The sequence below is a fragment of the Homo sapiens genome, chromosome 17 (assembly GCF_000001405.40).
Source record: "Homo sapiens chromosome 17, GRCh38.p14 Primary Assembly".
NCBI classification, from domain to species: domain Eukaryota; kingdom Metazoa; phylum Chordata; class Mammalia; order Primates; family Hominidae; genus Homo; species Homo sapiens.
Window position 1 is genome coordinate 44,918,719 of NC_000017.11, and position 14,275 is coordinate 44,932,993.

The 14,275-nt window shown below is 53.3% G+C and overlaps 1 protein-coding gene and 1 long non-coding RNA gene across 11 annotated transcripts in view, besides 1 other annotated feature; one reads left to right on the forward strand and one right to left on the reverse strand.

The window, feature by feature from the left end:
- Positions 1-6,079, forward strand: LOC105371793 (uncharacterized). The gene is made up of 2 exons (XR_934781.3): positions 1-1,100; positions 5,541-6,079. It is a non-coding gene; the product is annotated as an uncharacterized LOC105371793 (long non-coding RNA).
- Positions 1,315-1,814: an enhancer, noted in NCBI's record as "H3K4me1 hESC enhancer chr17:42997401-42997900 (GRCh37/hg19 assembly coordinates)". NCBI's record gives its function as "activates a minimal SCP1, AML or CMV promoter by ChIP-STARR-seq in naive H9 embryonic stem cells {active_cell/tissue: H9 hESC(naive)}" and the evidence as "EXISTENCE:reporter gene assay evidence [ECO:0000049][PMID:30033119]".
- The window catches only part of KIF18B (kinesin family member 18B), a 23,063-nt gene continuing 14,780 nt past the window's right edge, over positions 5,993-14,275 (reverse strand). For 3 of the 10 annotated variants that reach the window (XM_011524386.3, XM_011524385.3, XM_011524390.2), the window contains 9 exons: positions 14,194-14,268; positions 13,955-14,055; positions 13,338-13,524; positions 12,884-13,011; positions 10,101-10,306; positions 9,308-9,860; positions 8,271-8,360; positions 7,696-7,781; positions 5,993-7,468 (listed from right to left, as the gene is read on the reverse strand). In XM_011524386.3, the coding sequence (XP_011522688.1) occupies positions 7,362-7,468; positions 7,696-7,781; positions 8,271-8,360; positions 9,308-9,860; positions 10,101-10,306; positions 12,884-13,011; positions 13,338-13,524; positions 13,955-14,055; positions 14,194-14,268 (1,533 nt within the window). In that variant the 3' untranslated portion in view covers positions 5,993-7,361. Of the gene's footprint in view, positions 7,782-8,270; positions 8,361-9,307; positions 9,861-10,100; positions 10,307-12,883; positions 13,012-13,337; positions 13,839-13,954; positions 14,056-14,193; positions 14,269-14,275 lie in introns of those variants that run through there. The other 7 variants (NM_001264573.2, XM_047435469.1, XM_011524389.3 and 4 more) reach the window with 4 other exon arrangements.

A 14,275-nucleotide genomic window follows, 5' to 3' on the forward strand; every position in this document is an offset into this window, starting at 1 on the left:
CTCAAGTGACCCTCCCACCTCTTCCTCCCAAAGTGCTGGGATTACAGGCATGACCTATACAACCGGTACATATAGATCACGCCTGGCCAACCCTTAACTATCTAAAGGTGTCTGCACAGAGAACCAAAGATACAGACAGATTTGGTCGTGGTTGTGTTCCAAACTTTCATTATCTTTTTAATTAAATATTCATTGTAGAAAGGTCAGAAACTATAGATAAGCAATACAAAAAAATGTAATTAGCCATCATTTTGCCACCTGGAGATAAACACTACCAGATTTTTTCCACACATATATAATCATTTTTTTCAAAATGGGCTCATGCCGTACAAATTATTTTGTAATTTGCTTTTCTCACTCAACAATATGTTGTGAACATCTTTCCACATCAATAAATATTTGTCTGCATCATCATTTAACAGCTGCATGATTTTCCACTATATGCATTCATGTACCAAGCCCTAGTGGTGGACAGTATGACAGTATGTTCTCTCTCTCTCTTTTTTTTTTTTTAGAGACAAAGTCTCACTTTGCCACCCAGGGCCAGAGTGCAGTGGCACCATCATAGCCCACTGCAGCCTCAGACTTCTGAGCTCAAGCAATCCTCCTGCCACAGCCTGCCAAGGAGCTGGGACTACAGGCACATGACAGTGTGCCCAGATAATTTTTTTTTTCAGAGACCAAGTCTTGTTATGTTGCCCAGGCTGGTCTTGAACTCCTGGCCTCAAGTGATCCTCTGGCCTCAGCCTCCCAAAGTGCTAGGATTACAGATGTGAGCCGCTGTGACTGTCCTCTCTCTGTTCTAAACCACACTCTGATTTGCATCTGCTGCAGGCAGACACAGCAAACAGAGAAGGGTAGGCCCTCAGCCCGTCCAGCCTCCACCCAAACCCCCCATCCTCCTAGCCTGGCTCAGGCCCCATTCTCTGGGGTGCCTCCTCTCCTGCTTCCCCAAATGGAAGGCCCCAACTTCTAAAGCCTCTGGCCAAACCCTAGACTGCCTTCTAGACTGCACAGCAGGATAATACCAGCCATGGAGAGAGAAGTCTGGATGCCCTTTCAAGGAGCCTACAGCCAAGCTGTGCCTGCTTCAAGCTGAGGTGAGGACAAGATGACCTTCCTGAGCCCCTCCCTCACATCAGAATCTGCTAGATGACCTTCTGCTTACAGGGTAAAGCCCAGATGCCTCCTGGGACAGACCAGCCCCACATGTGGCATCAACCCACACACAGGGTGCCTGGTGTTTGCCAAATAGGCCAGCCTCTAATTCAAACGGCAGTTTTGCCACATGACTGCTGCCCGCTGGTTCTGCTTGGGCCCTTGGCCCTGGCCCAGTGCCTGGCACAGCGTGGTGGTCAGCAAGCTGGGTGAAGAGAACACAGTCTCTCTGGCTGAGCCTTGGTGACCAGCAAGTCTGTTCATCCATGGCCTGTCCCGAGGAAGGGAACTGAGCCTGGTGGCCACTAGATGGTGGTGCTCAGCTGGTCAGGTGTGAGCCGCCACAGCCACCGCAGTTTAGAGGCAGGGAGAAAGCTGTAGGCGGAGTTTTCTAAAACCCAAATTTGTTTCACCCAGGGGCATCACCCGCTTTGTTCTCTAGACTTGACTCTGACTGCTATAGCACTGTCCTCAAGGAGAGGGAGCAAAGCCTTGGCCACTCAGTAGCTGTGCAGTCTTTGATGACTTTAAGAACCTTGCCTGAGTCTTCATTTCCACGTCTGTAAAATGGGGATTCAACCATGCCTGCTCCCCAGGTAGTTGTAAGAATAAAATCAGTGAAAGCTGAACACAGCAGGTGCTTGACAAATTAGAGCTTCCATTTCATAACACCTACCAGGAGCTTTACCTATCGACATGTTAGCGGATCTGCGATGGGGTTGGCGGAGGGGCAGGAGCTGGGACCTCTGAAAGGGCTTCTGTATCCTGTTAACTCCTTTGGGAGTATGTGGACATCCCTCCCCCAAGGGCAGTTACTTGGCAGTGTGGACAGGACAGAGAGCAGCAGCTAGTGAAGCATGGGGGAGAGCCAGCACTGTCTACCCTCAGACCACGAGTTGTTGGTGGCTTCATCTCCCAGGGGACACAGGCAAGTTATCTCCGCCGGCCCTGGAGACTCAGAGTACTGAGACTGCTTTCCCACCTGCTTTCTTGGCTCTCTGACTCCCCCAGTGGGTGCTGTTTTCTCCATCCTCACCCCTCCCCATCCCTAGACTTGAGCCCCACAACTCTATCCCGTTTGAAAAGCTCTGTGTGTCACCCCTGCTTGGGTGTGGGTCTCATTTGCATCTCAGCCTGAAGCTTTACAAGGAGAGGGGCCATGCCTTTCCCCCAACAGATGGGGACTTCCTGATGCTAGGACCTATGTCTTCCCAGCAAACTGGGGTCTCTCTAAGGACAGTGTTTCCCCCAACCCCAGGCTAAAGCACCCACAGGACAGGAGTCATCCTCTTCCCTTGGATAGGGGCTCCCCAATGCTAGAACCCATGGCTCATTGTCAGATGGGAGCTCCTTGAGGGCAGGAACTGTCTCCCATTCCATTGGAGAGGGGGTTGCCTCAGAGTAGGGCCCATTCCTTACCCCCATCCTCAGCCTGTGCCCAGCCAGGCTCTGCTGTCTAGAACTGACTCCTGTGGCTGCAGAAAGGTTCCTGGCTGAACCCCAAGTCCCTTCCCCTTGCTCTTCCCTGGCCTTCTCAGCATTGGTTCACTAACCTTCACAGACCCCAGGCTGCTGCACTGGGGTTAATAAGCTCAGGCCCGTTCTTCCTTGCTTCTCCCCACCCCAGCCAGGGCCCACTGTAGCCTGCCCCCCGCGTCCCAGCCTGTAACCCCGAGAGCAGCTTTTTAATTGCTTTCCCTGATCTGCTCTGTTCCCCACTCCCCTCTGCCTCCCTGATTGGCTCCCTCTGGAGGGTGAAAGGCGAGGACCAGATGTGGCCCTGGTGGGAGGAGCGGACTGGCGGGTGGCCTGTTATTTCCAGCCTATTAGTCCTCCAAATGGACAGGATGAACCGGAGAACGGAGGCAGGAGGGCTGCATGCGAGCTGTGGGAAGCCCTCAGGGTGAGCTGGAAAACACAGCCACCATCTCTAGGCCCCTGGGGTGATTCCCCTGCCCCACATTCTTTTTGTTTTTGTTTTTGTTTTTTTTTTTGAGACGGAGTCTCACTCCGTCGCCCAGGTTGGAGTGCAGTGGCATGATCTCAGCTCACTGCAGCTTCTGCCTCCCGGGTTCAAGTGATTCTCCTGCCTCAGCCTCCCGAGTAGCGGGGATTACACCATGCCCAGCTAAATTTTTGTATTTTTAGTAGAGATGGGGTTTTACCATGTTGGCTAGGCTGGTCTTGAGCTCCTGACCTCAGGTGATCCGCCCGCCTCAGCCTCTCAAAGTGCTGGGATTACAGGTGTGAGCCACCACGCTGGCCCTCACATTCTTTATCTCAAGCCCTCCTGGATCCTTCTTCACAAAGAACCATGGAAGAAGGGAAGATGACCGTGAACCAAATTCTAGCTGGGAGCCAGGATCCCCCAGACATGACCAAGAGCCAAGGGGACATTCCTGGGAGAATCTGGGGGTCTGGGAGGCAGGACTCCTGAGTTAGTAGCCACCACGGAGGCTCCCCAGGTGGTGACGAAGTCCCCTTTGTGGGCCAAGCTGATGACCGTGTGTAAGGGGTACCCAGAGAGAAAACCCAACCCCTTCTCCTTGGCAGATACCAACACCGATGGAGATTTGGACTTACACTCAGGTGATAGGAACAGGTGCCATCCTGATTCCGTGCATGGAGGGACCATGTCTTGTTCTGTTTTCAGCCCCTGGCACTGAGCCTGATTCTCTGAACTGGGCAGGATTTGTACCCCAGGGTGGGGGCCCAGGCGTGAGCTGTGGGTACTGAGTCAAGCAAGGAGGTGGGCATAAAAGGCCTGGGGCATGAGGATTTCTAAACTCATAGAGGTGGAGTGAGAGGCTTTTCCAGGCCTTTGAGGTGGAAGAGGCAGGATGAGGCAGGGAGCGGGGGGCGTTAGACCAGGCTGGGCCCTCAGCAGATGGGGAGCCATCGATCGCCGCGTTTCGTGGATGACTCTGTTTATGTAAGAACAATCCAATCTGAGTCTCATTGCCACCCACGGAGGTCAGCTGGGAGCTGGCTGTCAGCTTGCTGCCCCCTGGATCCCCTGCCAGCTCCCTGCGAAGCTCAAAGCTCAGACCAGACAAATTGCCTCCTGGCGTGGGGACACCACACCGCGAGTGAGCACTCTCAGCCCGACCTCCTGTGATTGAGGGCAGGAGCCCCATGTGTTTGACTCCATCGGCACAGAGTCGTTGTGAATTTAATGGGTTACCTGGGAGCACATTTTGCACCACGGAGCCACAAGTGTTTGCCGAGTGAATGACCGGCTGTAGAACATTCTTGTCAAGAGTGACCTCTTCCACTTGAGCTGCCCCCGGCCCAGGCAAAATTCTCCCTCATGCAACGGACCCTATTGGGTGAAGGTTGCCCTCCTGGCCCTCATTACCAGCTGCCTTGCCCTGTGCCTGCTGCCTCTGCACTTGCAGGGGTGATGGTGATGATCAAATAAGATAATATATGTGAAGGCCCCAGGAAATGGGGGATGTTATTCAATTTGAATCCAACCAACACTCAGTGAGGCCTCCTGAGGTCAAGGCACCATGCCAGGGCACTGGGGGCTACGATGATGTGAATCTGTGACTGCCTCTCTGGAAATCATGGTACACAGTGGGGGAAAACTTCATTAAGACTAATTGGAAAGGAGGGAACCCCAAGCACATGAAATGTCTGTCCTTTTCACTTCCCTCTGGAAGTGAACAGACATTGTTCACTTCTGGAGGAAAGCAGCTTGGTGTGATGCAGAGAAGCAGACCTCAGATCCAGAACGCTTGAATCTAACTCTGGGCAAGTTTTGTGACCCTTTCGGAGCCTATCATTATCTCCCTTATGAGGTGGCGCAGCTCAGTGAAGGGCCTGGCAGCCAGTGGGTGCTCGATGCTTCTGGCTGTTCTTTCCTCTACTCCAAAAAGGGCTCAGAGGCCAGGCACGGTGGCTCACGCCTGTAGTCCTAGCATCTTGGGAGGCCAAGGTGGGTGGATCACTTTAGGTCAGGAATTCGAGACCAGCCTGACCAACATGGTGAAACACTGTCTCTACTAAAAATACAAAAATTAGCCAGGTGTGGTGGCCCAGATCTGTAGTCCCGGCATTTTGGGAGGCTGAGGCAGGAGAATCGCTTGAACCCAGGAAGCAGAGCTTGCAGTGAGCCAAGATTGCACCATTGCACTACAGCCTGGGAGTTGCAGTGAGACTCTGTCTCAAAACAAAACAAAACCAAAACAAAAAGGGCTCAGAGCTGAGGGGCTGACCCGGTAGAGGCTGCTCCCCGAGAACAGCCAGGACTCACTTGAAATTAGCAGCATTTATTTACATGCTACTCACAATGCTCTAAATACCTTTAACATGTTTGTTTTCAGAAGCAGGTTAAACACAGACTCCTGTAATTTTGTTTACACTATTAATTCATTCAGCCAACCATGTCTTCATGGGGAGAACGGAGGGAAACTTATGTGGCACTGTCGCCCAATCCAAGGAAGTGGAGATGGAAGTCACGAGCCAGGTGGACGGGTGTTGGCAGCAGACTGCACTGGACTTAAGCCTGTGGGGATTAGCTTGGAGCCTCACCTAAGACCTGGGGGCCACTAAGAAGGCAGAACTCCTAGCAACCCACCGCCAAGGCCGTAGAAGGGTGGAACAGACCTCCAGGTGCAATTACTCCCAAACCCACGGAGAAGAGGAGGCCCTTTAGGGCGTATTGGGCTGTGAAGTGAAGAGCCGGGCTCAGACCTCAGGCTCCAGGAGGAGGCAGAGTGAGAACTGTTTTCTGTATATACTCAGAAGTTTCCTGAGGTCTTAAGAGTAGCAAGGTGAGAAAGGGAAGGTGTTGCTATCCTATCTAGGTGTACAGAGAGACACACACACCAAGGATGGAGACGGTTTATTGTTATACCAAAAATATATGTATATATCTATATATATATGCAGAAATAAAGGATCAGAAGGCTATAAACCCAAGTATCATTAGCATTTATATCTAGGTGCAGCATTAAGCCTGAATTCCCCTTTACACTTTATTTTACACTGAACGTGTATCCTATGTACAATAGAGTTAAGCAATAAAGCTGTCTTCATTTGGAAATCAAGGCACCATTATCATCCACATCTTCACCAGGACTGTGGTTGGGGACCAAGGGGAGTAGGGATGAAGATGTCCCTCTCAGAAACCAGGAAGAGCCAAGCCGCGACTCCCCGCTCCCCAACCCATCCTCATTCCTCCTCTACTGCCTGTGGCCATCACCGTGGGGCCTGTGTTAGAGACAGGTGGGGAAAAGAGCCCAAGAGCCGTCTGCCTGCACAGAGGGCATCATAAATGAGAGGGGAGGCCGGGCGCAGTGGCTCACGCCTGTAATCCCAGCACTTTGGGAGGCCGAGGCGGGTGGATCATGAGGTCAGATCGAGACCAGCCTGGCTAACACGGTGAAACCCCATCTCTACTAAAAATACAAAAAATTAGCCAGGCGTGGTGGTGGGCGCCTGTAGTCCCAGCTACTTGGGAGGCTGAGGCAGGAGAATGGTGTGAACCTGGGAGGCGGAGCTTGCAGTGAGCCAAGATCGCCACCACTGCACTCCAGCCTGGGCGACAGAGCGAGACTCCATCTCAAAAAAAAAAAAGATGGGGGAACATGGCAGCACCTTTAAAACAGCAACACGGGCCAGGCGTGGTAGCTCATGCCTGTAATCTCAGCACTTTGGGAAGCTGAGGCAGGCGGATCACCTGAGGTCAGGAGTTCAAGACCAGCCTGGCCAACATGGAAAAACCCCCTCTCTATTAAAAAGACGAAAATTAGCTGGGTGTGGTGATGGGTGCCTGTAATCCCAGCTACTTGGAAAGCTGAGGCAGGAGAATTACTTGAACCCAGGAGGCGGAGGTTGCAGTGAGCCAAGATCGTACCACTGCACTCCAGCCTGGGCGACAGAGTAAGACTCCATCTCAAAACAAAAAAAACAAAAAACAAAAACCACCAAAAAACAAAAAACAGCAGCACATTAACACTCACAAATGAATATGTACATGCCAAGAAGCTGAGTGTAACAGGAGATTAACAGAGGGTGAGTAGCAGGATGGATGTCTGGGGAGGGATGTTAATACAGCAAAGGTGTGTTGGCACTAATTGCTCCCAGGTAAGGAAGGCAGGTCCAGCTCCTGGTGCAGGTGGCTACAGGTCCAAGAGGGGTATCCAGCAGAGGGGCCGGTAGGTTAGGACACCTTGGTGGTCAGGACATTCTGGCGGTCAGGACACCTTGGTGACGCCGTTCCCTGCTGAGAGTGCTCTCCCCACCCTGATGAGGTCCTTTCCATTCCTCCGGTTGCTAGGGCACAGGGGACTCAAGGGCAGCTCTGCAGGCCAGTTGGATGGGTGGCGGGGAGTGCAGCGAGGAAGGAAAGTGACGCTCTGTCCCCGTCCTCCAGCCCACCTCCCACCTGTCTCATCAGCAGCATCCCTGAGATGCTTGGCAATACCCTAGGCCCTCCTTTCTTCTGGGTCTCAGCTCCCCGTCCCCTCCTCCTTCTTGTCTTCATCGGCCTCCATGGCCCAGGCTATCCCTGTCCCTAGTGCCAGTCACCTGGGAGTACAAGGGGCCCAGCTGGCCTCTTCAAAGTGCTGCTGGGGAGGCGGGCGATGCGGCTGCGGCCATGGGAGACTGAGGAACTGAGGGAGGAAAGGAGGGAAGGTGGAAGGTTACGGCCCTGTCTCTGGACTATGGGTGTGCATTGAAGTGGGGCATATAAGTACTTGACACTAAGCCCTGAGAGCAAAGGCTGCTGGGCACCAGCAGGAGCTTCCAGAGCTGGATCTAAGGGTGGGAGAGGCAGTGTGTAGGGTTGGGGACACAAGAGGGAAGTAGCAGTGAGGATGGAGAGTCCCTTTGCTGGATTAATGGTGTGCAACATCTCCCTCATGGATAAATGGGTGCTGAGAGCCTCCCTCATGGATCAGCTCTGGGGTGATCCTGGGATAGCAAGGGCCAAGGAAACCTCAATAGGAGAACTAGATGCGGGCCCTGCTCACAGGACCTCAGCTGCTTGCTCCGGGGGTGTAGAGACAGAGACACTGGGGGCCCAGAGTCGGCCCAGGTGTCTACTGCCCTGGTGAGAGCGAGCTCCTTCTCCCAGACAGCTGACACCTCCCAAACCTCACCTCGCAACGCGCTTCTTCTTGCAGGCAGAGGTCCCAGGGAGGGAAGATGTTGGCTTGGGGCCCTTCATGGTGAACAGGGGCACAGGTGCCCTGGGGAGGGAGGACAGGGAAGGAGGCTGATCAGCAGGGAACCGGAAGCAAGGCCAGCCACTTCCTCCCTCCAGCCCCCAGCTCGGGCATGGGGGAGGGTGGTTGGACAAGATGACCTCTGAGGTTTCTTCTACAAAGAGGTGGATTCCTCTCTCTGCCTGGCTGACAGCTGAGTGACAGGCCTGCTCTGGGAGGACATCCAGATGCCAGTTTCTGGTGCACCCGGGGAACTGGAGTTCAAACAATTTCACCCTTCCACCTGCCCAGCTCTGCGCTTGTTACCGAGAGCTGCTTCTCGGGCTATGGAATGGGCGGGTGCGTGGGTGGGCAGAGCCTGCCAGCCTCTGCCCCACAGGTGCAGGTCAGTCTGCCACTGGTTCTTGGCCTTGGACTGTCTTGAGCAGGCTGCTGTTCCCCTCCTCTGCCATGTGTGTGGAAAGGGGGAGTGACAGCTTCGTCTTCTCACTGGAAAATACTGAACTGAGTTTTCTAAGGACCCCCTTTCCTGTTCCAGATGCTGGGCCGGAGGCCAAAATCTGGAGTAGAAGTGGCAGAAAGAGGTATTTCCCAGTGGAACATAGAATGCAGCCCAGGCCAAAGAGCCCAAGTAAAGAGAGGAACAGAAGTGTTGGGTTCCCCTAGTACATTCTTGTTCCCTGCTGACTCTTTCCAAGTTGGGGTCCCATTAGCTACTCATGAGCATGCTACAAACCAGCACAGAGTGGGTGGCTTTGCAGCATGGACAGACCAGGCAGGGGCCCCAGGAGAAGTGACACCTCCCTGGCAGCTGTTGGGCCTGGGGAGCAAAGCGGATCACAACCAAAGTGGAACAGATAGGAACCGTCCCAGCTCCAAGGCTGTCCTCCATACTTCTCAGCAGCACCAAGAAGTCCCTTGCTGACCACTGACCACTGACAGGAGGGGTGGAGCGAGACTGGGAGACCCACCTGGGGATGAAGGGCTGGTCCAGCCTGCTCAGCTCCTGGGGTATTTTGTCCCAGCCAATGCATTCATGGAAACTGGGCTTTGAGGGAGGCTCCTCAGAGAGATCAAAGGTGGCATTGAGGTCTCGAGTGGGCAGAGCCAGCGGGGTGGAGCAGTTCTGCATGGCGGAAGGGCCCAGGGGCACCCGGCTTTTGATGACTGTGGCTGGGCAAACGCGAGGGGAATGGCAGGGGGAGGAGGCCCTTTCTCCTTTGGGGGTGCTGGGCCCCTGTGAAGGTTGGGTGTCAGGCAGAGACCCTCTCCTTAGGCAGGGCAGGAAGGACTGGCGCTGGCGCTTGGTGCCCCGCTTTGGGGCCATGGGACTGTCTGCCTCCAAGGCGCTTGGTCTCCTCCTCTTCTTCTCCATGGGCCATCGGGACCCCTGGGCTGGGGTGCAGTTGGGTCCAGGCGGGATTCCCAGGGTGTGCAGGGGGCCACTCAGTCGCCTCGCCATAGTCCGGGTCACAGGGCCAGTGTATCCTGGAGGCTCTGGGCAGAGAGGAGACGGCACAGGGACTGCACAGAAGGAAGGAGAGTTTGTAGAACTTGGGGAGCCAGACACTGGAGACATGAAGGAGCCCATAACCCCTCAGGTCTCCTGGGGCCTCTCTGTGTGCAGAAGTCTAGGATCCCAGGGGCCCAGCCTCCTACAGCAGCAAAACCCAGCAACTGAGGCCCCTGGACACCCCTTGGCCCCAGTGGGGCCTTGAAGACAGCACCTTGAAGACAGGCAGGGGAGAGCAGGATGAGACTCACTTGACTCTGAACACAGCTCCTGAGCCAGAGGTGCCCCCCTGGCCAGGCCTGAAGTCCTCAAGGCCTCTGCCCCAGGCTCAATTTTTTCCTCTTGCACCAGCTGCTGTAGGGTCTCAAACTCTGTGATCATGTCGGGCGTCAGGAGGTTGGCTGCTTGGAGCAGGGAGTACTGCCGCTGGGCAACGCACAGCACCTTTAGGGCCAACCTGGAACAGAAGAAAGGGGATTCCCAGCCCTGCTCAGACTCAGCCTGACCAGGAGCCTCTATGCCATGCACCTGTCCTCATCACTCCAGCTGTGGTTGAGGAGTCTGAACTGGTCCCCTGGCTCCCTCCTGCCTCACCCCAGACAGGCTAGCCAGACTCACCACCCTCTCAGCCACAGCTCCTGCTCTGCTATTGCTGAAGGCCAAGGCCGACCAGGATGGCCACGGGTAATGGTGGGAGGTGTCACCCACTAAACACGCCCCATGACAAAGACAGTGATCTGAGAAGTAGGGAAATGGCACTAGGTGGCCCTGGACTCAGAAGGTCTGAGTCTTCTCTTGGCTCTGCCACCTACTAGAGCTGCAATCATGAGTTCATCTACCCTAAGGGCAGTGCAAAGGGGCAGTTAAGAGCCCAGCTCAAGTCAGACTGCCAGTTTCCCACTCACATCCTGGCTCCAATACCTCCCAGCTGTGTGATCTTGGATGCACTGGTTAACCTCAGTCTCCACAACCTTAGAATGGGGATAACAAATGCCCCCACCTCATAGGGTTATTGGAAAGACTGAATGAGTTACTTTACAGACAAAATGTTTAAAGAATACCTGACATGTAATAAGCACTGTAGGTCTAGCTAACTATTGTTTCCTGTAAAATGGAAATAATACCATCTTGCTGGTTAGGATAAGAGGAGATTATGTAAGATAGGCTATGTTCATTGTGGTTCTAAGAAGGCCCTCAAAAACGCATTCCGTCTATGCTTTCTATTTAATGACTGGGATCCTGAAAAAGTATGTGTGAATCAAGGCGTATTTCACAGGCACTGGGGGGCTACTTGAAGGAAATGATGAAGGTAATGAGATTATTGATGTTGTAAATTTAGATTCTAATAAAGCATATTTTCTTTCTGTAAGGCACACCTATGATAAAAGAATAAACACAATTATCTCAGTGGGAATTATCCATGGAAAATGGTTTATCCTCAGGTAGTTCTACTGGCCTGGACATCTCTGAAGCCCCCTCCACTGCCCTCAGTCAGGGTGTGCTGAGGGAACACAAACTCATTTTATAAAGCAGCCTCAAGGCCTTTTTGAAAAAAGGCAGGATATAAATTAAAATGGACACAGAGGAAACTCATTCTATATCTGCACGGGCCACACATTACAAGGAAGATTAGACAATTGCGAAGCATGGGCGTTTGGGGGAAATATCCAGGCTCTGGCCCCGTCCCTCTTGCTATGTGAGCCTGGACAAAGGCTTCAGTGCCCCATCTGACAAATGGGGAGCTGGTCTAAATCTGGAGTTTTCAAATTAGGTTTCAAAAACCCATCAGACAGAGTAACTCTGTTTTGACTGTTCTATGCATTAGACTTCAGCATAAGATTTCATTTGAAGAAAGTATTTTGTAGCTAAAAACAATAAAAAAAAATCTGAAAAACCACTGAACTGGAAAATCTAAGATCTACTCAGTACCTAGTGGTCCAAGATTCTAAATTCTAAAATCAAAGGGAAATTATTTTCAACGATCTGGCTGTTAGGACGTTTCCAAACATGGAGATTTGTCACATTTTATTAGTACTTCATCCCCAAGAAGTAGGGAGACCGGGGGCTATGATCCCCAGTCAAGGCCAAGGTTGAAGCAATTTGTTGGAGACCACAAAGCCAGGGCAGAAATAAGGACCCTGGTGTCCTCTCTCCTTATAACAGGGGACCCCTAGCAGAGGGGCCCTGGGTCATCGGTAGGAGCTCATGGTTGTTCCCTGGGAGATCAGGGGGATGTCGCACCAGAGCATCCTTGCCTCTCCAGGGCCCTGGGCAGGACCTGATAAGCAGGAGACAGATAATGAGCTGCCGATTATTCAGACTGCAGCATTTTTGCTGAGTCGGGAACAGACACTCCCCAACAAGAAATAAAATTAAACAGGCCCTTCTGTCCAGAAGCTTTAAATACACTGCCTAGCATGAAGCGTGCTGGGGAGGGAAGAGCGGGATGGCAGTAACAGAGCTAAGTGGCAGGGGATTTAGGAACTAGGGGCCAAGGAGAAAAATATTAGCAGCATCTTTCTATGAAGCATAGAAAGAATGGTCCAAAATCCATTTTTCTTTGGCTTTGATTAGTGGTTTGTATTTACTTCTGAGAAAAAATAGCCGCAATCAATCTGTTGATGAAGATACATGAAAAACACTGGCTCAGGAAGGCTGTCCCTTCCCCAGCCTGACGTTCAGCTTCCCTTGGCTGTCCCCTCCTTGCTGTGGAGGGGCAGCCTGGCCTCAGACTGGAAAGCAAAGCGTAAGCCCCAGCCGCCCTGCCCTGACCCAGGGTCTGCTGGCTGCCTGGATGTACTCTGGCATTTTGCTTCCCTCTCCTGCTAGGCAGCCAGCTATGTAGAGGAATACATAGAGGTGATAAGTTAATCAAGTAGGTGACGATAACAACAAGGAGGTGAAACCAGGTAAAGGACAGTGCTGATGAAGAGACAGGGCTTTTGTGATGTGCTTAACACCAATTCCCACACCCAGGGAGGCTGAGCCCATTGCTTCCCACCTTGATTCCAGAATACAGCAAGAAGATACCTACTGCTTAGAACGGTCCCCATCCAGTTCCCGTGCTGAGAAGTGGCCCACGACTGGCTTGGGCTGCAGGGTCAGGCGAGGGGACTCTGGCAGTGCATGTGTGGGGTTCTGCTCTGGCATCTGGGTTGGAACCTAAAGAGGAAGGAAAAGGCACAGGTAGAGGGGCCAGGATGGCCTCCTCATCTTTATAAACAGCTTCTAAAATCCTTCCCTCCTACAAGAGTGGAAATGACAGCTCCTAGAATGACCAGGTCCTGGTCACTTCCAAACACACAAGGATCTGATAAGAGTATTTCTTCTTCCTGCACAGAATCTGAAATCCTCCTAATGACTAAGGTGCAAGACATCCACATAGAGACGGGACTAAAGGGACTCTGAGTCAGGGAGAGGCAATTTTTCCAATATCCCACCAGCTCCAAGCCCTCCCGATACCCAGGCCTCACACCCCCAAGTCCTACCTCCTCAGCTGGGCCTTCATCCTCATCCTCTGGGGACTGCTCCTGGTCTGAAGAGTTCCCTTCCATGGCCCTCTCCACCTGGGCCTCCATCCCCAGACTCTCCTCTTGAAGGGCTCTAGGCCCTGCAGGGAGCTCTGGGGTGCAGGGCTGGCTGGGAGGGTGGGGTGGCAAGGGGGAGCTGGGAAGGCTAAGCGGGAAAGGAGGGTTTGAGAGGCAGGATGTGGGCCAGGTGGGAGAGCAGGGAGCGGGTGGGATCTCTGTGGCACCCAGGTCGTATAGAGTCCATAAGGGACAGATGCTTAGGTGACAAATGGGCAGTAGCTGAGGGTAGGAGGAGTCAGGGATTTTCTGGTTTGAGAGACAATGACACACACCCCTAAGTTCACCTTCTCTCGAATAGTAGGCCCTGCTCTTACGGGCTGGGGTGCCATTTACTCATTGGACACAGCACTCTAGGTGACAGTCAGTTGCTGGGCAGGCACTGGGTGCAAACCCTTAACCCTAGGGATTGGAGCAGAAGCAAGGAGTCCTAGTCCTCCAGAAACTGGAGAAGAGGGCCTGGCTCCCCATCCTGGCTGAGCTGCAGGGTGGGGGCGGGAATGGGCAGTGGAACTCACTGTTCTGGTGGTGGTCCCGACTTGGGAGATCCTGGGAGGTCCTGTGGTGGGGGCTGGCCTCCCCCCTCATACACTTGGAGCTTCTTCCTCAGAGCGGCTACCTGGAACAGAAGCAGCCCAGCCCCTGAGAGCCCCAGCTAAGCACAGGAGGGGAGGGGCAGACAGAGCCCCCGCCACACCCTCAAGCTCCTGCCTCTGGCTGTCGGCCCTCCAGCCTGCCCCCAAGGCGGGCTCCTCACCTCAGCCTGGAGCTGTTGGCAGATGGTAGCATACTGGCTGATGTGACAGTCCAGGCTGGTCACATTGCTCTTCAGCTGAGAT